Raw genomic sequence first — 25,276 nt, 5'->3', positions numbered from 1 at the left:
AGAGAGAGAGGGAGAGAGACCGAGACCAAATACCTATCTATACCATAGCACATACTTCGGAAAATGTACCAAATCAATGATGAATCTATTGACCACCTACCAACCATGGAAAAATCACAGGTAGTCAGTGGGGTGGGCGGGGGTGTGGTCAGTTTCTTCTCTCTTTTCTATTTATTTTTAAGTTTTATTTTTATTGTACATATTTAAGGTTTACAGCATGCTGTTTGATACACATAGTGAAATGGTTACTGTAGTTAAGCAAATTAATATATCTTGCATAGTTACCATTTTTGCGGTAAGAGCGCCTAAAATCTCTCAGCAAATTTCCAGTATACAATAAAATATTATTAACTGTAGTCCTCATGCTGTGCATTAGATCTCCAGACTTATTCATCCTGCATATCTTCAATTTCGTACCCTTTGACCTACATCTCCCCATTTCCTTTCTGCCATAGTAACCAGTGTTTTATTGTTTCTATGTATTTGATATTTTCTTTTTTTTGATTCCACATATAAGTGAGATCATGCACTATTTTTCATTTCGTGTCTGCCTTATTTCACTTAGCATAATGTCCTCTAGGTTTATCCATGTTGTAAATGGCAAGATATTTTTTAAGGCTGAATAATATTCCATTAGACACACACACATATACCTCTTACAATTTTTCATCCATTCATCTGTTGACAGGTTTTCTTCTCTCTCTCTTTTTTTTTTTTTTTTTCATTTTGAGACAGAATTTCACTCTTGTTGCCCAGGCTGGAGTGCAATGGTGAAATCTCAGTTCACTGCAACCTCTGCCTCCCAGGTTCAAGCGATTCTCCTGCCTCAGCCTCCCGAGTAGCTGGGATTACAGGTACCTGCCACCACGCCCAGCTAATTTTTGTATTTTTAGTGGAAACGGGATTTCGCCATGTTGGCCAGGCTGGTCTCAAACTCCTGACCTCAGGTGATCCGCCCACCTCAGCTTCCCGAAGTGCTGGGATTACAGGTGTGAGCCACTGCGCTCAGTCCTCTTTTTAAAATGAGTACTAATCCTGGCTGTTTACAAAAGTACAAAATTGCCATAGATTCAAATGAATCTAGTACTTTATTGCATTTTCTTGGTTCCATTAAAACAAATCTTCCTGTCCCAAACATTTGGTGTAACTGTGTGTTTTCTAATCCTCAATGAAACCTCTAATGGAGGGAAAGATTTGGAGCAGAGCAATTAAAAACTCCCTCCTCTCTTTTTTCACTCTAGAAAGACGTGCTCGGCACTTCTGCCATTCTTCTAGTGTCTTTAATAACAGATATAGCAATCTTCTAACACCTAGCAAAAACTAGGTCAATTGGATTTGTTGACAGTGTGGAATTGTAGATAGAATTTGCTGTGCTGTCTGGATCAGCCCCGGGTAATCTGACCACTTTCTCTCAAGAGGTGCACTAGCTGAGCTAGGATCACGCTGCTGCACTCCAGCCTGGGTGACAGAGAAAAATCCTGTTTCTAAAAAAAATTTTTTTTAATTCTAAAAATTTAAAAAAAGATGCACTGGTTTCTCCCTTTCCTTTCTGCTTTCTCATATTTCTCCTGACTCCTGGACTTTTTCTGCCATAGCTGTTAATCAGATCTTCAAATATCAGTCTTTCCAGGTTTGATTTTTCTTTCTTTTATCTCTCCCCTGAGGTCTCTGATCAAAAATGGCATTTTATTCCTTAGCAACTCTGTCTTATAAAGTGAACCATCTATGTATATTTTAAATCTAATAGTCATGTTAAGTAAAAACAAGAGTGAAATTAACTTTAGTAATAAGTCTTATTTAACCCAATATATCCAAAATAGTATCTTTTCAACATATAATGAGATATTTTACTTTTTAAAAAATTTTTTACAAGTTTTTACAGGTTTCTTTCAAGGCTTCAAGTGACATCAGGTTTTCACACTTATAATCCCAGCATTTTGGGAGGCCAAAGTCTTGAAAATCTGGTGTCACTTAAATCACATCTCAATTTGGATGCTAACTTTTCAATAATTGAAGCGAAATATTCTACAAAGTAAAGTTGTACTTAACAGAAAAATATTTCATATTGCTTTCATTTTAAAATTAAAATTAGAGGCAGGAGGATTGCTTAAGGCCAGGAGTTTGAGACCATTCTGGGCAACATAGCAAGACCCTGTCTCTACAAAAATAAAAAATAAAATTAGCTGAGCATGGTGGTGCATGTCTGTAATCCCAGCCACTCAGGAGGCCGAGGGGGGTGGATCTCTTGATTCCAGGAGTTCGAAGTTACAGTGAGCTATGATCACACCACTGCACTCCAGCCTGGGCAACAGAGTGATACCCTGTCTCTTTAAAAAAAAAAAAATTCAGCTCCTTGGTCTCATGAGTCGTATTTTAAGTGCTTGATAACCACATGTGGCATATGGCTACTATCTTGGACAGCATATTTTAGTAGAATTCATTTATTTAAACAATTTTCAGTTTTTCATAATTTCTAAGTTGATACAAAGCATTTGTGATTGAGTCTTCTCAGTCATAAGGGGAGGCAGAGCACAGAGCAATATAAGGCATATATGCCAAGATCTAAAAGACAAGCTCCTATTTTTCCCATGAAAAACATTTAAAAAGTTTGGGGCCAACTTTGGCATATAACATTTGAGGAATATATTTGAAATAATTTCTGCTTATAATAATTTAATTGCACATGCATATTTTAAATTATATAAATTGTATAAACTTGGAAATGGTGCTTTTCCCCTGTGTTTAAATCTCATGGAACAATTTTATTTCTGTACTTTTTTTTCATGTATTATTGCACTTGGTTGCCTTTATCATCACCAGCATGATTTTCAGGGCTATCTAACACAGTTTCAAGCTCATCCTATTTACTTTCTTCCAAATTGTTTGGGATTCAGCACTTTTAAAATTCATAAATGATGCTATCTCTGGAAATTCTGTCCTGAGTCATAAGTGCTCAGTCACATAACATTAGGAGAGTTGATTTTTCTTGTCCAGCTCATATGTCAATAAGAAATCTCCATAATGGAAACACTTCACATTGCTCTTAAAAAAAAATAGAAAACACCTCTTTTTATTGAAAATAACATCAATACAGGCGAGTGCATAAATCATAAGTGTACAGCTCAATGAGTTAGCACAAAATGAACACACCTGAGTAACCAACACTCAAGAAATATTAATAGAGCAGGAGCAACAGCCTGAACCCTTCCTGTAGCCACGCCCACAATTCCCCACTCCCCTTCCAAGGGAAGCCTCTCTAACTTCTAACACCAAAGGGTGGCTTCGCCTGTTTGTATAAATGGTGTCTTTTGCTCAGCACTGTGTCTGTGAGATTCATTTATGTCACAGTGGTTCATTGGTGTTCATTTGTGTGTAGAATTCCTGCATTGCTTTGTTTTTTGTTTGTTTGTTTTTAAGGGACAGGGTCTCACTGTGTTGCCCAAGCTAGAGTGCAGTGGTGCAGTCATAGCTCACTACAGCTTCAAACCCTGAGCTCAAGCCATCCTCCCTGCTCAGCCTCCCAAGCAGCTAGGATTACGGGTGTGCACCACCACACCCAGCTAATTTTTTTAAGATTTTTTTTATAGAGATGGGGTCATGCTATGTTACCCAGGCTGGTCTCAAATGCCTTTTCTGGCCTCAAGTGATCCTCCCATCCTGGCCTCCCAAAGTACTGGGATTACAGGTATAAGCCATGATGCCCAGCCCTGCATTGCTTTTTTAAAAGCCATCTTTAAGAAGATTGCCTACTATAGCACCCCAAATTGTTTTCCATGTTGTAGGAATTATTTTAAATTTTTCTTAGATTTATTTTCCTCCTTAAAAAAAAGTCTGGCCGGGTGCGGTGGCTCACACCTGTAATCCCAGCATTTTGGGAGGCCGAGGCAGGCAGATCATGAGGTCAGGAGATCGAGATGATCCTGGCTAACACGGTGAAACCCCGTCTATACTAAAAATACAAAAAAATTAGCCGGGTATGGTGGCGGGCACCTGTAGTCCCACCTACTTGGGAGGCTGAGGCAGGAGAATGGAGTGAACCCAGGAGGTGGAGCTGGCAGTAAGCCAAGACCGTGCCACTGCACTACAGCCTGGGTGAGAAAGCAAGACTCCATCTGAAAAAAAAAAAATTAAAAAAAAAAAGTCCATCAGCTTATTTCAATAAATGTCCCAAAGTAGCTTTGAATATGTTTTCCCCAAGAAGCATCTTGCTGTTCAAAATAAAGTAACTGAGAGAGTCCTTATATTGTGAGAGATCTTGAACGTATGTAAATGTCAGAGCAATTCCCTCATTTTTGAGAAATAACATTTTAGGGGGTAAAATCCAGGAGATCACTAGGTTATATCCAGGCTGTATAGTGTATGAGTGTTTATAAGTGGTGTATTTCACTTTCTGTCTTATGTGCATTGGAGTTTTATGCTGTAGTTAGTGAATATTGGTCCCACTCTTGGCAGTGAACATAATGTCTATGGTGCATCTATCCCTAGATATCTGCTTGGCTGATTCCTTCACCTCCTTCAAATCTTCGTTCCAGGTTACCTCAGTGCACCTACCTTCCCACCCATCTTTAAGAGAGCAGCTTGCCTCCTGCCACTCCCTACCCTAGTATTTTGGACTCCCTTTGTCTCCTCTATTTTCCTTTTACCTAAAGTTCTTGCCACCTCTTAAGACACGTTACTGTTTTTACTTATTGTGTGTATTGTTTCTTGTCATTTTTTGTTTGTTTGTTTGTTTGATGCTGAGCTCAGAATAGGTCATTTAGCATGTGCTCAGTGAATGTTTATAGAATGAAAGAGCAAGAGCCTGTGTGTTTCCAAGGCTTGCAGGGCCTCAGAATTGTATGGGAACAGATGCTGTGAACAGTGATGCAATGAAGATAAAGTACAGAGGGTTAGGAGACTCACACATTTTCTTTTTTTGCAACTCCAAGTAGCTTTTTTCAGTATCTGGCATGGTTGGGACTTGTTGAAAAACCCTCCCTGGAAGTGACTTGTGAGGGTTGGATATCACCTGTTAATGCTTCATACGTCCCAGCAGACTCATTTACAAATATGGAATTTGCTGTTATCACCAGGAAAATTTCCAGACTTTTATTTATGATATATATATATATGTGTGTGTGTGTGTACATATATACACATATAACTTTTATGTATGTATAAGTAATATATACTTATATATGTAATATATACTTTTATATAGATGTAATATATATTTATATATGTAAACTTTTTATGAGCTGGAACATGTTTTGAGTGTCAATTATGCACCGTCAGTGAACACATGGGGCAGCTGACTGGTTTACAGCACAGGTTGAACTTTCCCATCTGTGTGTTCAGAAGTGCTGAACATCCCACCTCGGTGACACCTCCTGTCTGGGATCCAGCACAGATAATGAGTGTGGGAATTTGAACTAACCTCATGGCATGTGAGGGTGGGGTGTCTTGTCTGAGAAATGGAGTGTATCCTGGCAGGCAGTTAGGCTGCCTGCTGTATCTTCCCCTGACACTGGAAGGTTTCATTTTAATTGCTTGTGATTATGTAAAATCTTTTCTGAGGGTTTTGAGAATCAGTGTGACAGAATTACAACCCACATAAGGTTTTCCCCTTTTCTGCCTTTGGGAGAATTCCCACTCAAAGAGCCAGGTCCCATTAGGATTGGAGTCAGCAGGGCTGAAGATGGCTAGAGGACACTGCAGGGAGGGAGAAAGCACTTGGAGATGAGATACTCAATTATTGAAACTGACTTGCCTCCTCAAGAAATCTGGAACTTTAAACCCAGTTCCAGAATTCTCTCCTGATTCCAGTTAAAGAAACCTACTACCTAATAACTTAGGCAGCCATTTAGGTGGGATGTTTCACTTTCTGAAATTCTTAGCTTTCTTCCCCGTAAAAAAAACAAAAAAAAAAACAAAAAAAAAAAACAAAAAAAAAACCTTTGCACTAGAATGATAATCTCTAGGATTGCCTATAGCTCTGATATTCTGTGAGTCTATGGTCAATCCAGCTTTTAAATGACTTCCCCTTCATTATCAAAGAGCCTTATTTGATTAGTTCAGGTTTATGATAGTGGTGTGCTGCGTTTCGGTGCCATATACCCTCATTTTGTGAATTTTTCTGGGTATGTCTTAGTATTCCCTCTGCTCTTCATCCACTATGGCAGTGTTTGCTGATTGATTGGTAACTATTTTTGTCCTCCCACTTAACTAACAACTGTAATTGGAGCTCAATATAAGGGCTATTATTTTTACAAAGTTTGTTTTCCTTTTAAGGTTAAAAATAAACATTGCCTTCTGACACTCCAGTGGAAAAAATCTGTTGTGAGAAAAATCTAAACTTTAAATGATTCATTTGTGGGATCACTTTTGACTTCTTATGTGTTTAAAAGAATGAGAAAAAGGGCATATTACCATTATAGGGGTGGTACTGTATTCTATACATGTAACCCAGGATATGTAAGTTGGACAAAAGAGTCAAGTATTTTAATAATTCATTATTATAAATTTAGCATATGAAATAATGAGAAAATAGAATTAAACTGAGGTTTCCCATCTAATTAATTACTTCCCAATCTACATCTTCATTCTGTTAGCCTGATAGCAGCATTCCTAGTTTTGAAAAGGTAGCTGGGGGGAGATTCGTAGTGTAGATGTTAGGGATGAGGGTGATGGAGGTGTTATTCATTGGGGTACTAGTGATGGTCTTGGTAAAGGTGATAGTGGTGGTATTGATGGGGTGGTAGGGATGTTATTGGGCAAAAGCAAAAGCAGTCAAAGGAGCTGTTAGAAAGAAAGATTCTTCAGAGAGAAAAAGGTTGTCATGGGGGGTACAGGGAGTAGAAATCAGATGGAAAACACCTGAAGAGATGGAAAAACTTTAAAAGAAAATGTTTAAATATATTCCTGGTGGAAATAAAGTTAGTTTTTTGATGAACTATTCATCGTTCAGTTGGTGTAGAAATTTTGTTTCCAATGACTTCCCAGTTTGAATGAGATGCAGTGTCTACTCTGACTAACTTCTAAGACACTCCCCAGAGGGCAATGACAGCTTCTCGTTATGATGCCTTAAGAATAACACAGATGGATATATTTTTTAAGTTTCAAGCACAGGAGTCTCTGTGACCCTTTCTGACTCTGATGGTGCCTGGGAATGTGGGCATCATTCTTTATTGCTTTTGAATAGTAAAGCATCATCATTAATTCATGCTCTGTACATTTGTAACTTGTGATAAACAAGAACTAAGCCTAAGTTTGCATACAGGTTTGCTAAACCAATTAATAATGTAAGCTAAGCTGCAGGGGCAGTGTTTATTTACCTCAAGGCTACCTGCTTTTTCCAGCAGTTTGGATGCACCATCACAAACTGAGAGGCTAGTTACAAATTGCTCTTACCTCTTTATTAAAGCAGATCTCTGAAGGCTCACTCCTTCAGAGCTTTTGTGTTATCCTCGTTTACATTTCTGTATATTTGAGTGTGCTGCTAACTGCATCTTTTATAAAGGATTTAGATTTTACACTTTACAAAATCATTGCAGTCTGGTATTTCCTGTGGGTATGGATTAGTGACGATCACTGTATTTTAAAAGATGTCTATTGCTGTGTAACAAACCACCCCAAAACATATTGGCTTTAAACAATAGCAGTCATTTATTTTGCTCACAAATCTGCAACTTGGGCAGTACTTGGCAGAGGCAGCTAATCTCCATTTCACATGGTATCAACTGGGCTGTTTGGTGGTAGCTGGGGGATCTACTTTCAAGATGGCACACTCATATGGCTGGCAAGTTGGTGTTGGCTGTAGGCCTCTCGACAGACTGCTTAAGGCTTCCTCAAAACATGGCAGCTAGGTTCTAAGAGCAAGCATCCCAAGAGAAGAAGGTAGAAGTTCATGGAATTCTGATGATTATACCTTGGAGGTCACATAAGGGTCCTTTTCACCTACTCATTGGTTGAGGCCGTCATAAGGACCCATAGTGGTTGAAGTACAGGGGACATGGGTTCCAGCTCTTGATGGAGGAGTGACAAGGTTCCAGCAGACCATGTGGAATGAGAAATATTGTTGTGGCCATCTTTGGAAAATACAGTCTGCCACATACATGAATTCCAACATGCTTATGTTCATTTCTGGTTCATTCTTCTACTAGGAGAGAACTTTGAGAATACGTAACAAATAAAAATGAAGGCGAGAAGTGGAAATAAATTCAGTATTGAATATAAGGGTTATTGGACATTGAAGATAATCTTTAAATGTATAATTCTCAGTAGTTGTTAATGCAAAGCTGTTCCTTCCCTCCCCCCCGAAAAAAAACCCATCTCCTATTTGTTACTCAAAGGGATCACATATCTTCATGTGCTCTGAAACTCTCTTAAATCATTTCCATCTTCCAGAAAAACCATCCCAGTGTTCTCCAGGGTATTTACAAAAGAACAATAAAACATTCATTTTTTTAGCACACTGTAATGAAAACCATCCCCAAGTACTTAGTTTAACTGCCTTGTTTACCGTGGGAGTTTCAAATGTCATTAGGACCCTGTTATATTTTTGTTGGTCTGGAGTCGTGGGAATCACAAAGTATTTTTTAACCAAGGGTTAAAACTAGGATAGCAATGCCCAATGGCACCATCTCAACATTTTGTTAAAGTGTGTTTCATTAATGCTTTGGAAGCCTATGTAAATCAGAGGATGGTGGGGGGAAGAAAAGGTCACGAATACTGGATGTTAAAGCAGTGTGGTGTGAAGAGAAACATCTGCTCCTGGTTAAATTCTTTAAACTTATGTTCTTTTGACTCACTCATTTAACTGTGGTGCTGAGATTTGAGTTCAATGAAGACTCTAAAGCTGGTTTTCCAGAATGTTCCAGGGAGTCTTAATGAACCCTTGAGTTCTTAACCCCAAGCTTGTAATTCCAAGGTCACTGGTATTACCAAAGTATAAAACTAGGGTTGTCAACCTCAGCAACTCCAAAAAACTGTCTTTTTGTTTTTTGGGACCTACATTGCCTCATCTTAGTGCCTTTGTGAAACAAGGCCCATGGGTATGCCTGATTATGAGGCATTTTTTACCTTGATAAGAAGTAGTGATATTAACAAATTGCTTATTGCTACTTCTTTTCTTTTTCCTGAGGGGAAGATTGACTTGGTTTCTTAAGAGATGGACTGAAAACCCACGAACTGCACATTTTAACAGCAATGCTTTCTTGAGACATGTCTCTGGACCTGCAACCCCCTTAATGTCTCTAGGCCTCAGTTTTCTTCACTGTTAAGATGATAGGAGTAGCAAATGATGTGCAAGTTTTCTGAATCTCAAATGAATATATTTTTAAAACATTATTGGTCCCAGATGGATATTTCCTGAAATTGTAGACTCATAGATGTTTCCACTTGGGGGTAACCTCAGATACTGCAAATTTAATCTCATGCCTATTCATTCCTTTAATAAATGCCCAAGGAATACTTACTGTGTACCAGGAACAGTTCCAGATGCTGAGGACAAAGCAGGAGGCAAAAGAGACAAACTGCCTGTCCTCATAGAGCTCTCATCCAGCTAGGAAAACCAGTTGTAGGGAGATGGAGGGGGGAACAGCATGCCAAACAGAGGGATCTGCAAAGTGCTGAGGCCCCCTGATGGGAACAAATCTTGGGGTAGGGGGGAAACAATGACAAAGACTTGTGAAGGTGTCAGGAGTTTGGGATGTGGCCTGAGAGGTGGGCAAGACCCATTTCAGGGGCAGGGCAAGGGTTGGGAATCTTATTCTAAATGGGACATCGTTGGAGAGTTAAAACGAGCAGCCTTAACTGGCTCACATCTTTCAGATACCAGCCTGGCTGCTGTGAGGGCTGTATACAGGCCAGCATGCAGGAAGAAAACCAGCAGAAAGGTGGTGGTGAGGCCAAGGAAGAGCATCTCCAGGAGGAGGGGAATGCATGAGCTACCAGAGAGGATGGGGTGGTGAGGGCTAAAAAGCCTGTGGGATTTGGCGTCATGGAGGTGACAGGAGGGCTGTGGGGAGCTGCCGGTGAGGAGGCAGTACAGAAGCTAGAGAGTGAGTGGAGGTGGAGTCGGTGAGGCGGGTGGGTGGACGAGGCTTGCTTACTTCTATTGTTGGTTGGATTCTTTCCTCTTTTTCTTCTTTTAAAAAAAGATAACTTGAATTTAGTTGTATGCTGAGTGGAAGGAGCCAGTAGAGAGAGAGAGAGAGAGAGAGAGAGAGAGAGAGAGAGAGAAATTGAGGATATAGAAGAGAGAAGTGGTCCTAAGTAGAGCTGGGTCTTCCAGGGTGCCAGAAAACATGAGCTCTATGGCCTGGGTTTTGCCTTAACCGGGTCACACCGATGCTGGGGACAAAGAGTGGAGGGCCAGAAGAGGACATGGGGATGGGCTTCTCAGCTTCTGACCTCGATTTTGTCTTTAAGTCATCTCTGGAGGTGGTGGGAAAGTGGGGAGAGGGTGGGACCCAGCAGAGGGGAGAAAGCCCTGGGGAAGCACAAGACAGCTGATCAGGGAGGAAGGGAGCCACTGCAGGGTGGCCGTGTGGCCTCAGCCTTGGCGGGAGACCTTGAGCCCTCCTCCTTGTGGCCCTGGGTGGACTGGATGGATGCGACATTTGTGGGATGTGTCAGACAGAGAAAGCCAAGGATATAATAGGAGGAGAGTGATGGAAGCAGTGGGTCATGTGATGGACAGGGAAGGAAGAGAAGGAACACTCATCTGTGTGCCTCTTAAAGCAGCTTTCTGGGTCTTCACTGCTGGTCACACTGAACCAGGTGACCATATGTCCCAGCTTGTTCAGACAATCCCAGTTCATGCCTGTCATCTAAGCGTAATTATTATTTTACTTTTTGCTTCAGTTGTTTGACAAATCAGCATCCCATGGTGTGTCACAGACTGCTGCCTCTACTTTTTGTCTCCCGTGGACTTCTCACATCCTTTCCCATAGCAAGTGTAGGCTCTTATGACCTTTCCCATGAGCTCTGCAGTTACTTCCGGGCCCCAGCCATGTCCCTTGCCTCCTGTCTCCTCGCTCTGTTACCAACCCCCACCTCGATCCATACCACATCCTGTGGGCAGATTTCTTTTCCTTAGGACAGGCCTGATCATGTCACTTTGCTCAGAAGTCATGATGGCATCTCATTGCCTTCAGAATAAAAAGTCCAGACTCTAAAGATGCAAGACTCTGCAATCTAGCCCTGGTATTTCCCAGTACAGCTTAGAGTGTAGGAACATTGCAAATACAGCGCTGAGCAGCGTAACAGGTAGCAACGTGGGCTCTGGAGCCAGCTGCCTAGGTTTGAATCCTACTTGCCCTTTACTAGTTGTCTGACCTTGGGGAAGTTGCCCAATATCTCTGTGCCTCAGTTCTCTAATCTGTAAGATAGGGATGAAAAATAATACCTATTGTTATTATTATAAGGATTAAATGAGTTAATCCACGTACAGCCTTTAAAACAGTGTTGGGCATACAGTAAGCTCTCAGTAAATTGTGATTACAGAATTTCAGCTCAAGCACACTGAACATTTGCTCTTCCCTGCATGACTTCTGAGGCTTTCTTGCCTCTTCACTTTTGCTAGCCCTGCTTCTCATAGGAATCCTTCTCCCAAATCATTTCTGTATGCACAGATTTTACCTGTGGGTAAGGTTAAATCCATGGCTACCAATAATGGATTTTGACAGCCACAGAACTAACAGACTGGGAAGGCTGGCATGCATTCTTTGACTCCCACAGGACTATGACGAAAGTCTCTTTAAATGCTTTGCTAACATAACATTTTGAAGTTTGATTTATCAGTTTCCTTGTGGGTGTGCAGCAGCATTTAATGGAAGCCTGGGGGTCTTGCAGCCTTGGAGGGGGCAGCAGATTCTCCTGCCAGTTCTTTTCCTCAATGGTCCTACTTGGATGATGGCAGTTCTCATGGGCCAAGGTCGTCTTTGCTCCAGAATCCTGTTCTGAATGCAGACAACCACACATATGTTGAATTCTGCTGATGGGCATACACTGAGGAAGATTGGGATGTTCTGGGCCAAGGAAAATCTGCCAGAGGTGACTCCTGACTACTCCAGCGTGTTGACTCTTTGACTGTGCCCTCCTGGTCAGGGCATGCATCTACTATGACAAACTACTCTGTGCAATGGAATGGCTGGGGGTTGCTTGGTGATTCCAATTGGTATTCAGTAAGTAGTTATGGAATGAATAAATGAATATTAGTATCTTCATTTTATAGATTAAGAAACTGAGGCTAAAATAAATCAACTGATTTGACCAATAATATAACTACTGAGTAACAGAGCCAGGTCCAAAGCTTTAAGCCTTCAAACTCTTTGTCCAAGGGCAGATTCTAAGACCTCTCAGTCGCTAAATGAGAAAACCACAACAGCAGAAAGTTTACATGATCTTTCCTTGTGGCCCTAAAACGGAGCTAAACATCCAGCAGCGCCTGGCAAAGCTTCCAATTTCTGCAGCTAAGTGTTAACATGTCAAAACTAAAGGCGGCTTCAGATGTGAGCTCAAACCCGTGTTATTTTTGAGCCTCCCTTTTCAGAAAGCTGTACAAGAGTGTAGGTGACAAGATGGGAAGGGTTGTGTGTGTCTGATAAAATATTCACTGTAAAGACTCATGTGTAACTGCAACCCAGAATGGCATTTTTGTACCTGTTCTTGACACCTAGGGCATGCCTCTGCTGTGGGCTCCCTGCGTGTGCTGTGCTATGTTGTCACGGATCGGGGGCGTGTGAGTTATGAGGGAGGGCCGGAGTGGGCAGTGGTCTGATCTAGGGTATATAAGTATGTGGATGTGAGTCTTGGATTTACCCCATATTATATGCCTCAGAAATCACTGTCAAAAACTCTATTATTCAGTATTTTATGTGATTTATTATGCTCTATAGCAGAGCTACCCAATAGAACGTTCTATGATGATGGATATGTTCTACACCTGCACTGTCCATGGGGTCATCACTAGCCACAAGTGGCTGGTGGGTGCTTGAAATGTGACTCATGTGACTAAGGAGAGGAATATTTAAATTTTATTTTATTTGAATTAATTTAAATTTAAATAGCCACATGTGGCTAGTGGCTACCTATTGGACAGCACAGCTCTCTATTTTTTAGCAGTAGGTTTCTGATTCCCAGCATTAATTAGCTCATTAGTTACAGGCATTTCATTAAGTTTATTATGTAACTTGTAGAAAATAAATCCATCAGTTATAGATACAACCTCCCTTACCTGGTGTGTAGCAGCTCTCCTCAAAGCACAATGGGGGAAATTTCCTTTACCTGGGCAACAGTGATGGCTGAAAGCCTCCCTGCCACACTTCAGCCTCTCACGTAGGACCTGGAATCGATACCAGATGAAGTCCTAGTTGTCTTGTTTCTGTTTGGGGCTCACTGTCATTTGGGAGCCTGTACCGAACTTTTATTTCATGCCTAGTCAGGTTTAGATTTAGAGACCTCCATCAACTTGCCCTGTGCTATCTTATTTTCCCCTACCTCCTGGTGGGAAGAGAGAAAATTGATTATTTTAAGGAACTGGCTCATGTGATAGTGGGGGCCAACAAGTCTGACATCTGCAGGGCAGTCCAGCAGACTGGACATTCAGGTAAGGACTGGTGTTGCAGTCTTTGAGTTTGAAGGGGAGAAAACCCAGGGAGAATTTCTGTGTTGCAGTCCAGAGGCAGAATTCTTTTTCCTTTGGGAAATCTCAGTCTTGGCTCTTAAAGCCTTCACCTGATTAGATGAGACCCACCTAATAATGGAGGAATCCACTTTACCGAAAGTCAACTGATAGTAAATGTTAATCACACATTTAAAAAATACCTTTACAGCAACATCTAGACTAGAGTTTTACCAAACAATTGGTCACCATAGTTCAGTCAAGTGGACATAAAATTAACTGTGACACCATCCTCCTTAGAGTCAGACAAAACAGTCTTGGAAGTGTCTCTGACTCTTTACCCATGCTATCTACTACAGGCTGTGGACACTCCAATCCCTATTGACCTGTGAGCAGGAGGCTTTTCTCTTCCTTTTCCTATGTTCCATATAGCCTTCATTTTTATGAAATCCAACCTGTGTCTCACTTCTTTCTGATTTCTCACCCCGATTGATACACATACTCTAAATCACAAATACGTATATTCGCATGCACATAGAGTATATATCGCACTTATCATTAGCAACATGGTATTCATTTTGGACATAGAAACAGACAATCCATCCTAGAAATCTAATGTCATATTATTTTTAATAAAAATAATTCCTCAAATATATAACCAAAGATTTTTTTTACAATGACTTGTGACTTTTTATATAACTACATTTTTTTAAAAAGAAATATTTTTCACATCATGATTCCTGATTATAGTTACAGTGGAGCATGTCCTTACTTATTATAGAGCAACTGAGTGAAGTTGTGGATTAGTCAAAACAGCCATGTTTAATTTTCAGTGCCTCAACCAGAAATTGTTACTCTTTAAGTATTTGGGGCAGGTGGGTTCTTACAGGCAGCAGAAATGAGAATAAGGTGGGTGAGGGTGTATATCAGTTTAAACAGGCATCCACCTGGGCATCTTGGCACAGGTCAGATTATCTGAAGTGGAAAGAGTGGTATCGTTGAAGAGGCATCAGGTTGGGCTTAGGATACTCAGAGCGAAAGCCAGGCATGGCTTTGGGTAGTTCTGTGAGGTTTGACCAGTCACAGAATGTCTTAAGCAGTTTTCTCTTCTGTAAGGTATGATTTTGAGGCCTAAGGGAATGCATGTGAAAGTTCTTTGTAGAAGAGCTGTGCAATGTTAATAGTTGCTGTTTCCTGTAATCGCTGTTGTTAGAGATGTTGTGGGCATGCGTGGGAGTCTGTGGGGAGCTCCATGGCTGAGGTGACCTGGCTCCTCATGACCTGTTCTTCCATGTTGATTTGGTTCCATGCTCATGAAGACCCTGGCATCGCCTGAGGTCATGGTGATGTCCAGCAACAGATGATGAGGGCTTGAAATAAAGTGAGCTTGGATGGTCACTTTATGGAGAAGGAGGAAGTAATTCCAGAAACACTGGGGGATAAATGTGGTAGGGTGTGGTGAACAGACACACAGGATTAGAAACAGGGAAGAAGATACTGTGATTCCAGCTGGTGAGACCAGATCAACAGTGGACCCGTCAGCTGTGATCGTCTTCTGTGTAGGTCTGAACTTGCAAGGAAAGCCAGGGCTAGGGGTTCACACTTAGGAATAATGAACATCTGATTTGTAGCTAAACCCATGTGAGTAGAGGAAGTCACCAAGGGGAGTGTAGAGTGGAGGAGAGCTGGCAGCCGGGGATGAACCCTGATGAATACATCGCATGCCCACCACCATGATGAATGTGAGACTGGCTCAGTAAAGGTTATAAATGCAAGAATGAGAAGCAGGATTTACTTTAGCCATAAGTACACGGTCAAATGACTTTCTGAAAAAGAGGAAAGTGTCTATACTAGGGTAAGACAGAACTGTAAGAGTCGTGGCCCCTAGATCTAGCCAAATATTGATCTTCATAAAATCTAAATGTGGTCGTCTAGTTAAAAAGGACTACGCACCCTTTTTGGTAAACAACTTGGCAGCCTCTGCCAAGCCTTTGAAAAGTTAATATCCCTTCATTCATTAATTCTACTTCCAGGAATCTATTTGAAGGAAATAAGCAGAGCTACAAATATGCTTCCTCTTCTTGGGGGTGTGAATTTCCCTGGAATGCATAGGATAAGGGCAGCATTTAACTTTGACATCTTTTTAAAGTTTGGATCCTAGGTAGCACTATGGTATAAGATACAAAATTTGTGCTGAAGTTGAAGGTAAAAGATGAGCATTCGAAGAAATCTTGCAGTTTTCCCTCAGACTCCCACTCTCCTCTGCTCTTGAGGTTATGACTGTGGTGGGAGAGTCGGATATGCTGGCCTGCAGGGTGAACTGAGAGCCTTTGCGGGCATGGATCCAAGGCCATATGTGATCCGGTCCTTGTCATGTCTAGTCAAGCTTCATTTCTGGGCTCCTCTTGGTTTCTCATGTCATGTTCCAGAAATATTTCTAGAAATTTCCTCAACACACCAGGCTGTTGCATACTGTCACGCTTTTGCCCATCATGATCCTTCCTTGCCTTTACATGGATTGCCCTCTCCTTTTCCTTTACATATGTGCTGAACTCTTATTCATCCTTCAAAGCCTTCTGCAGAGTAGGTCCCAAATAGGTTTTGTCTAGCATGGCATTTTGGAAAAAAAAAATTGGATTTGAATGCTTTAAGGTGAGGCATGCATGCTCCAGTTCTGCCACATTTCTTATTCTTCCTTTTGTGTTACACCACGTCATTTGTTACATCCCTGATCTACTCGGAGAAACTTTTCTCAACCTCCCCTTCAGGCAGAAATAATCACCATTGTCACTGTCATGTCTATGCCTTCACATCCATTACTATATTATCCTCTATGAGGAATTTTTACAATATTTACTTTTTCAATTCTAAAAGTAACATCCATGCCCCTTAAGTAAATTTTGAAAATTACACAGTAATAGAAAAAAATCACTTATAGCCCCACTCCCCAAATACAGTGCTGTTTTCATTTTGGTGACTGTTTTTATGCATAGTTTATGTATGTGTATTACATAGTTGTCATAATAAAGTGTATGAAGTTTAGAATCTTGACTTTTTATATGTCATTTCAAGCATTAATTGTTCCATGATAGTGTAATTATTTTTAAACTCTGTTCGTAATAATTGGTCAAATCTTCTTGAGGGTTGGGGATCCTATTTTACATTCCTGGTACCTAAGCACCGTGTTGGCCTGGACCAGTGTAGGGGCTTATTAACTATTTGTTGGATTCTACAGCTGAAAAATTAATGTCTCCATCCCTACCTTCAAGGAGCTCATTTCGGGAGAGAAGGCATACATATTCATCCATTATTTAATATATTCATTCATTCAACAGATATTTATTGAGGACCTGCTATATGTCAGACATCATTCTATTACTGGGGATGCAGCAGTGCAAACTACCCCAGCCCTCATGAAATGTGTATTCTAGAGCAGTGATTCTCAAACATCAGGCTGCATTGGAATCACTCGGAGGACTTGTTAAGACACAGATTGCTGGATCTCACCCTCAGAGTTTCTGACTCAGTAGGTCTGTGGTGGGGCCTGAGAATTTGCATTTCTAACAGGTTCCCAGGGGATGCTGATGCTCTGGTCTGGGGCCCACACTTTGAGAACCCCTGGCCTAGAGGATAAATTTGCAGTACAAGATGGCAAAGGAATATGGTTGTCTGGTTTGTTGTGGGAGAAGGGCAGGTGTCTGTGTCCAAGCCTCTCCAATTCCTCCAGTCCCAGTGAGGAAGGGGAGGGCTAGGATAATGCCCTGTGTCTGGAGTCCTCGCCTCTTCACTCTAGATGACAGCAGTCTCTGCAGGGCCGCAGAAGCCCAGGACTGATAAGGAGAGAGGTTAGAGATACCGTCTTTGTGCCCCATCCTTTGGCGCACTTGCCATATGTAATGTCTAAACTAAGTTTCAGTGCAACTGCAAAATAAGTGTGTTTTCACTCATTTTATACATGAGAAAACTGAGGCACAGAAAGTTTATATAATCTACTCTGGTTCCTCAAGATGGTGAGTCACGTATCTGGGGCTCCACATCAGGCCTTTCCAAAAGCCTTTAAACTTCATGCTATTTCCGTGACTCTAGTTGAGACTGGCCTATGGTTGAGCCCTCCATGGAAGCAGTTATTAAAATGCTTCAGAAGTCATAGCTGTTTCCTCTGCAGTAAGAGAGTAATAGCAGAAGCTAGTGCAGGTGTCTCCTCATTTCATTTGAGGGCTGTAAAACCCATTGCCTTTCTCTTTTGGCATATGTTGCCAGAAAGCTCAGAAGTATGCTTTGCATGCAGTGGCTTTCCTCAGCCTCCAAAGTTCTTTGGTATAATTATTTCCCTGCTATTTTCTTTTAAAATTTGTGTTGCTGTGCCTTCTTTTAGGAGCTTTATAGAATAATTTTTAACATAGGTGGATATCATAGATTAATGAGGGAAAAAATTTTCAGAATGGAATAGATGGCTTTAAGATTTTTTTGTCTTTTGTTTTTTTTAACTTTTGAAGAGTGAATTGAGCCAACTCGGGGCGTATGAGTGGACACATACATGCCCATAGACATGTATGTAGTTGATGCTTTGACATGTGTCCACTGAGTCTTGTGATTAAAAGAATGAACTTTGGCCCAGGCCAGACCTGGTTTTGCACTCTGGCTACTCACTGCTTGTTTTATGACTTTAATGTCTCTGGGCTCCAGTGTCCTCATCTGAAATGGAGACAATGATACCATGCAGCATCATTGAAGGATGAAACGTTTTGTTGTTTTAATTTATGTAAAATGCCTAGCTCAATGCCTAGACATAGTAGGTCTACAGTAGACAGTAATTACTACTATTCTTATTTTATGTCTAGCACAGGCTAGGATTTAAAGACTGGACTGCATGTTTGCAACTGCAGTTTTCCAGGTTGCGCAGTGTGGAACAAAAATGACTTTCCATTTAATGTCAGGGTGGTTCTTCCGAGGAGAGCTGTCAGGGCAGCTTCTCCTTTAGAGAGAATACCTCTGTGCTGGCAAAACTGACTCTCAAATGAGGGTAGATTATCATTGCAGAGGCCTCAAGATTTTCTGAGGTCATCTGCTTAGAGCTTGGTGACTAAGACTTAGACAGCTCTGAGGTCTGCACCGCCTTATTTATTTGTAAAATGACTTAAGCATCCTTGCCTGGAAAGTCCCCTAAAGGCTACCTTCTGGCTTTGGCTGGCTCTTGCTTTATTTTATTAGGTTATTTATTTTCAATTTTTCTTTCAAACTTATGACTTACATTCAACCCAATTGCCTTGGGCTATTTTTTAGGGAGAGGGAAAGTTCAAGTACCTCGGTACTGCAGGTGGGTGTTCATCCCCCATCCCGTTGGTACAGGGAGTGAGAAGGAACCATCACCTCGCTGCTGATGGTGTGGACCAGGACTTGGAGAGCCAAGAGTCAGTCTGTGGCTGTGGGCTGGGCATGATCTGTGGGCTCCTTTGACCTTCCCTAAGCCTGAGAGCACCAGGGAGCAAGGTGTCCATCAGATGATACCTCTCAGGGAGGATTTGCCCACAGCCTTGGCACAGGGGTGATTTTCCCACCTCTGCCCTTCTCTGCCAAAACTATTGTCCAAAAAGGAAGCTCTTTGGGCCATAAAATGCCATCTGTTGTTTGTATATGGTTATATAGACAAGCTGTAGTTATACAGTAGCCTGATGGGCAGGAAGTCAGTGATTCGTCCGAAAAAAAGTGACAAAAAAAACTAAACTCTTAATAAAACAAACTTCCTCCTTCAAACTCTTTGTTTAGAACTTTTTCCAGCCTCTTTAAAAAATGTTAATAAGGACTAGTGTAGTGTTTCAAAGTAGTGATTTCAACTCTTCAAAGCCAAATGCTTTATCTTTCCATCAGACAATATAGTTAAAACAAATTAAAAAAACTGTCTTCTTCAGACTAGGGTGTGGGGGCAGGTGCCCCTGAGGACATGGAGTTCCTGTCAGCTTGGAATTCTTCTCCTGCACCTGAAACAGCCTCGCAGGCCTCGGGGAGGCGCTTTGCACGCTGCACGTGTCCCTTTGATAGACCATTTCATTCACTTGTTTCCCTTCCTTTTGTTTGCCTCACAGATCCAGGAGGCTGCAAGCCAGGGCCTGAAATTCGTTGGTGTTATACCTCAGTACCATTCCTCTGTGAACTCGGCAGGCAGCAGTGCTCCGGTGTCTACTGCCAACAGCACCGAGGATGCCAGAGATGCAAAAAACGCACGTGGGGATCACGCGTCACTGGAGAATGAGAAACCGGGGACTGGGGATGTGTGCAGTGCTCCGGCTGGGAGAAACCAAAGCCCAGAGCCCAGCTCAGGCCCCAGAGGGGAGGTGCCCCTCGCCAAGCAGCCCAGCTCACCCTCCGGAGAGGGAGATGGTGGAGAACTTTCACCACAGGGGGTGAGCAAGACACTGGATGGACCGGAGAGCAACCCCTTGGAGGTGCATGAAGAGCCACTCTCAGGGAGTAAGTATGTCAGCAATGGGAGTTTTGACCCACTTAAAGAGCAGCTAACAGCTTTTCATTAATCCCCATGGTATCTCAGAGAAAAAGGAATGGAATTTAGAGTGTAGAGACAGCAGTCCATCAAACAGGAGAAACTTTATCAAGCAGTTATCTGTGCCACCTGACTGTTTACTTACTGAAGTTATGACTTCTGGGGAGTTCAGAACCACATGAAATTGACTTGCAGTTTGCTCCAAAATGTCACGTTTGAAGTGGATTCTAGACTGTGAGCTCTTTTATCTCCTGTGCTCTCGAAATTGCCCTTGAATTATCCAGTTTTCACACAGGAAGTGTCAGCCTGCCAGGCACCGATGAAAACCTACACACCACCTGTTAAAATACTTGCCTAAAGCAAGACATTTTACAGCTGAGCAAACTGGGGTTTAGAGAGGAAATTTGTTGCCCAGTCTGGAAATAGGCAGTTCGGGCATATGAACCCAGGTGGACTTACCCACCATCCCTTCACGCCTCTCTGCTTGGTCTTTCCTGTGTGATAGACTAACAAGATTTGCCGAGGCCCTTAATAAGATTTACAGGGAGCAAAGTTTCCCTCCGTTTCTCTGTATTTCCTTTTTCTCTACTTTCTTCAGGAAATCAACCATCCATATTTCCCCCTTTCTCCAGGAAATCTAGCATCTGGTCATTTCCTGAGAGCAAGGTACTTACATAAGCCATGTAAGTAAGAACAAGTATGAAAACTAACAGAAGACCCCCAGGGCTTAGGAGGGCTTTCTGTTTAGGCCTTTCTGGATGATCTCCCTGGTTAATATTGTTATTACCATTTATTTACGAATTCTTGAATTTAGCCTCTTACAAGTGATAATGAACAGGTGGTGCTTCCAGAAGGGAAAACAAGGAGAAACAGTTTCTTTTGTTACATCAGAACTTCTTGAGAGGAAAATTATGGGATGGTTAATTCCAGGGGCTTATTTGCAAAGTTGATTTAGAGGGAGATATTGGAGCTGCGTCAGTTTTGTGATGTAGTAAGACTATTGTTTAATCAAGGCATTGAGCCTTCTTAGTATGCACTGAAGTAGAGCCCTTCATCTGTGTGATTTTTCGCTGTTTGAGGCACATGCCTGCTGCCCTCATGAAGTAGCTGAGCATGCATTTAAGCCCAGTGTGTCGTCCTCATGAACGCCCAGGTCTTAGTCCAGAAACCTCCATCTTCTCATGGAGGCTGGGCTGGATGTGTGTGCTCTGAATCCTGGGCAGGAAGATGGACCTCACTGGAGTCCTTCTGTACGGTCCAGGACTGTGGGAGGGCGAGAGTCAGGCCAGGCAGAGGCCCCCAGGAGAAAGGGCAGGAGTGATGGAGAGGTGAGGAGCATGGTGCTCAAGAATCTAGAGTATACATTCCGGCCTGCCTTCCGTGCCTCAGTTTCTCACCCTTTGAAATGGGGATAGAACGATAGTTTCTCATGGAAAGGTTAAAGTTGTACATTTAAAGCACTCGGCACTGTTTGACTCATGAGTATGAGCTGCTATTATTGGGGTACAGGCTCAGTAGTCCTGACACTCGACCTCCACCTCTCATGGAATCCTGGCTTTGAGAAAGGAGGCAGTTACTATTGAGGTTTCCTCAGTAGCTTTCAGATGCTTCCTGTGTTCCAGAGCCCACCTTCCTCCGATACTCCTTCCAGACTTCCTGCCTCCTGTGAGAGGATTATTCACTGGGGAAACTTGTCCAAGGAACTTCCGCAGGTGCCCAGGACCTTCTTGCTACCCCGTGGCCACTCACCTTCCTCACCCAGAATCTCCCCTGATGGCTGAACACAGAAAAATTGACACCCAAAGCATCTTGGCCCCTATCCCATCACCCAAGTCCCTGTTCTCTCCTGGAGAAACAGACCCTGCTGGGGAGGAATGGGTGAATGTGTGTGTTTCTGGAGGTGGTCAGCCCACCAGTGGATGAGAATTTCAGCTCTGCACGGGTAGGCCAGGAGGAGGGATTAAAGCCTCCTTCGAGCCCAGTCTCCCTAGGCAGGTAAACACTGCCTGTCTCTACACATAAAGCAGTCCCTTTATCTCTCTGCTCAGGCTGCGAATCTCTGAAATTTAGGCAGCTCACTATTATCCCTTTTCCCTCCTTTGATGGAATAGATGAGCTTTTGGGTTTTTCATACAGGGATCATTTCACATATAAGCCTTTCAGTGGTCACGATGGCAGTCACCCTCCAAGTGCCCTATTCTGTGTCCTTCTTGTGTCATCTCAGTAACTCCTCACAACAGCTTTATGGCAGAAGATGCTATTACTAGATCCATTTTACAAATAGGGAGTGTCACCTTTTATACCCCCATATAGTTAAATTTCTTTATCACAGCTTGAGTATTTGGCCTCCCTGAAGGCTGAACGTCCAGGGACCCTGTCCTTATTGGTTGTGACCCTCACCTGACCCCCAGCCTCTCTCCTAATCTTTCTCCTAGGAAGCCCACTCACTGTCACTCCCCCACAGGCACACACGGGCCCCCCCAGGCACCCCTCCCCACTGCCTGCTCAGCTCCCAGCTTGCCTTCTCTCAGAGCCCCCTAAGGGAGGGTGAAGTGTTTTTTACTCCTCTTCTGCCAGGTGGGCTTAAATAGGCAATCACAGCAAGACAATTAAAAAAAATCCAGAGGGAGTCTCCCTCCTCTTCCCTCCTTCTCCTCAGTTAATTTATTTCCTTTATAGGAGGCCTTGGGGAGAGGAATCTAGGCAATGCCTGCTCAGACAGGACTTTCCAGTGGATTCTCCATGCGGAAGCAGGGGCAGGTCGTCCCTCCCCATCTCTGCGGGCTCGGTGCAGCCGTCACGCCTCCTTGCCCCTGCAGGTTCTTGGGGAGGCCCGCCGTGGGTTCCTCTTCCTGCTCGCTGACTTATTTCCTGGTCTGGGGGAATTTCCTTTTGGTTGGAGGTCCGTGCTGTGCCGTGATCACCTGAGCCTGTGCAGGGACAGCCTCAGTGTCTCCGTTGCCACAGCTTCCATCAGAGAAACCAGGAGGCTAGACAGGTTCACGAAAATTCTAATCATTCTCACCGTCACCAAAATAACAAGTCTTCCAAGCACTGCCCTTCCTACCCTGCACCTCCTCACTTAAAATGCTTAGAAATGTCAGCCAGAAACCCAAGCGTGTGATGCCAATCATGTTTCTGGCTGAGAGGATTTTATTCAGTAGCCCTCCCTGGCTGCCAGCTCATTGTGAATGGCCAAAACCTGGGGGTTGGGCTTTCCTGATGTGAGGGCTCCTTCCCTCCCAACTCCCTTGGGATAGTTGGACCCCATGATGCGGCCCCCTCCCAGATCTGCCACCTGCCGCCATCTTTCTGGCCTTTTACTCAGTCCATTAACAAACAGCTATTGAGCTCCCACCCACGGTCATCAGCCCCTGCCTTCTGTGTCCTGATGAAGTTAGCCTCTTGTTAGATTTGGGAAAGAGCCCAGGGTTTGGGGTTTGAAAGACTCTTGGCTGTGCCACTTACTGGCTTGTGATTTCTGGGGGATCCACTTAGCACTTCTGGGCACAGAACCAGGGCCACCCCCTCTCATCAAGTTTGGGAGAGTCACATGAGATGGTGAAGGTGAAAGGCCCTTGTAAATATGGGACACATGCCTGTGGCTGCTGTCATGCTTGCAGGTGGAGTCCTGTGGATTGTTGTGCACGCAGCAGCGGTCCCTGCACTTTGCCTTTCCTGCTGCCCTGGCAAGCGGGCCTCACTATTAGTACCTGCTATTAGTACCCAAGCCTTAGCGAAGCTTGAGCAGCCTTGCCCAGATTTAGGCATCTGGATGGAGCAGCCTGGGGCCCTTCTACCCTCCTGCCCTGCCTCGCCACCATGGTGCCCACTGCCTCCCTTCCCAATGCAAACCTTTCTGCTTAGTTCCTTCTGCCCATGACCTCAGCAGCCTGCAGTCCCCACCCAGCTTGGACTGCCCAGCCAAGTGTGATGCCCACTTGTTCCTTCCAATGCAGCTAATGACCAGCTGCCTCCTCCTCCCACATCTAGCCCTTGGAGCCCCAGATTTTCACCCAGGCTCTAAACTCTTTCTTCTCTCCAGACCAGAGGTCTCCTGGGACAGCAGGGCCCAGCCAGTCCCCTGCTTACCCTCAAGACCTGGGCTCTCTGGGGCCCCACCTGCAGGCAAACTGCAGCCTTCCATCCTGTGCCAGAGTCCCCACGCCCAGGTACAGACCTCAGGGCTGGACAGCTGCCTCTTTCCTCCCCACTCCCTAGTAGCCTGGCAAGGCCTGAATGGACCAGGCTCCAAGGCTGGCAGGACTCAGCCACCCCCACCCTTGGGCCCCATGCCCCCTTAACCTGCCCTCACTTTCTCCTCTGGTTGGCTTAGGTCAATACGGTGAACACGTGTAACAGGAGGGATCTAAATGAGGCAAGGTGGGGGAAAGGGAGAGATGAGAAGACAGTCCAAATGCTCCTTGGGTGCTCTGCCAGTACAGTCCTTCAGCCACTCCCAGAACATTCTCAAAAACAATGCCTTCCCTATCCCTTTGGGACTTACCATCCCATGTCTGGAAAAATCTTCCAGCTGGGGTCATGGCAGAGTCACAGAGCAGCTGAGAAAATTTAAACAAACGTGGGGCTTCTTTTTGGAATCTTTGGTGCTTGCTCACGTGAGGATGTGTGTTGGAGAATCAGAATATTAAAACATCAAAGGACATCACTTTTGGACAGTTCTCTTGGCTGGTTTCCATGTGGGTAGAGAAAGGACTGGAGACAAGGAGATGATGGGGCAGAGGAGCGTACAAGGGTTATGCATGTGCAATCAGGTTTCTCCCAATATTTCATTGCTGCTGATGCTTTGGAGGCTCTTCGTTCCAACACTGTTTCCTTTTCCTGAGAAATTTATTTCTGTCTCTGGCTTCAGTCTGGCCCCCTGGGGAGGATCAAGCCGGGAAAGCTGTCAGCACCGTCTACCTTTTCTGAGGGTCTCTGTCTTCCTCCGCTACACCCCCAGCATTCTCACTTCTCCTTTGGCCTTCCCCTTTTCCTGGTTCATTACGCATTTGGGAAAGTTATGTTTCTGTCTTGCCATTGAGTGGGAGTTCCTTCTGTGTGATCAAGTGTTACCATGTAGTTTTGGACTTTGGCCACTTCCAAATTCCCCACCTACTTCTCCCACACAGAGGCTGTGATTTTTTTCTTCTTCTTCTTAATTCATTTGC

The 25,276-nt window shown here is 43.4% G+C and overlaps 1 protein-coding gene across 10 annotated transcripts in view, besides 2 other annotated features; it reads left to right on the top strand.

Moving 5' to 3' along the window:
- Positions 1–25,276, top strand: part of RFTN1 (raftlin, lipid raft linker 1) — a 197,855-nt gene that overhangs the window by 115,908 nt on the left and 56,671 nt on the right. For all 10 annotated transcript variants that reach the window (XM_017006007.3, NM_015150.2, XM_047447783.1 and 7 more), the window contains exon 5: positions 19,690–20,074. In XM_017006007.3, the coding sequence (XP_016861496.1) occupies positions 19,690–20,074 (385 nt within the window). The remainder of the gene's footprint in view (positions 1–19,689; positions 20,075–25,276) is intronic.
- Positions 18,758–18,847: an enhancer, noted in NCBI's record as "active region_19542". NCBI's record gives its function as "activates an Ori minimal core promoter by ATAC-STARR-seq in GM12878 lymphoblastoid cells {active_cell/tissue: GM12878}" and the evidence as "EXISTENCE:reporter gene assay evidence [ECO:0000049][PMID:35858748]".
- Positions 23,950–23,999: an enhancer, noted in NCBI's record as "active region_19541". NCBI's record gives its function as "activates an Ori minimal core promoter by ATAC-STARR-seq in GM12878 lymphoblastoid cells {active_cell/tissue: GM12878}" and the evidence as "EXISTENCE:reporter gene assay evidence [ECO:0000049][PMID:35858748]".

Source organism: Homo sapiens, chromosome 3 (assembly GCF_000001405.40).
Source record: "Homo sapiens chromosome 3, GRCh38.p14 Primary Assembly".
In the NCBI taxonomy this organism is placed as follows: domain Eukaryota; kingdom Metazoa; phylum Chordata; class Mammalia; order Primates; family Hominidae; genus Homo; species Homo sapiens.
The sequence above is the reverse complement of the archived record's forward strand: the minus strand, read 5'-3'. Positions and strand labels throughout refer to the sequence as shown.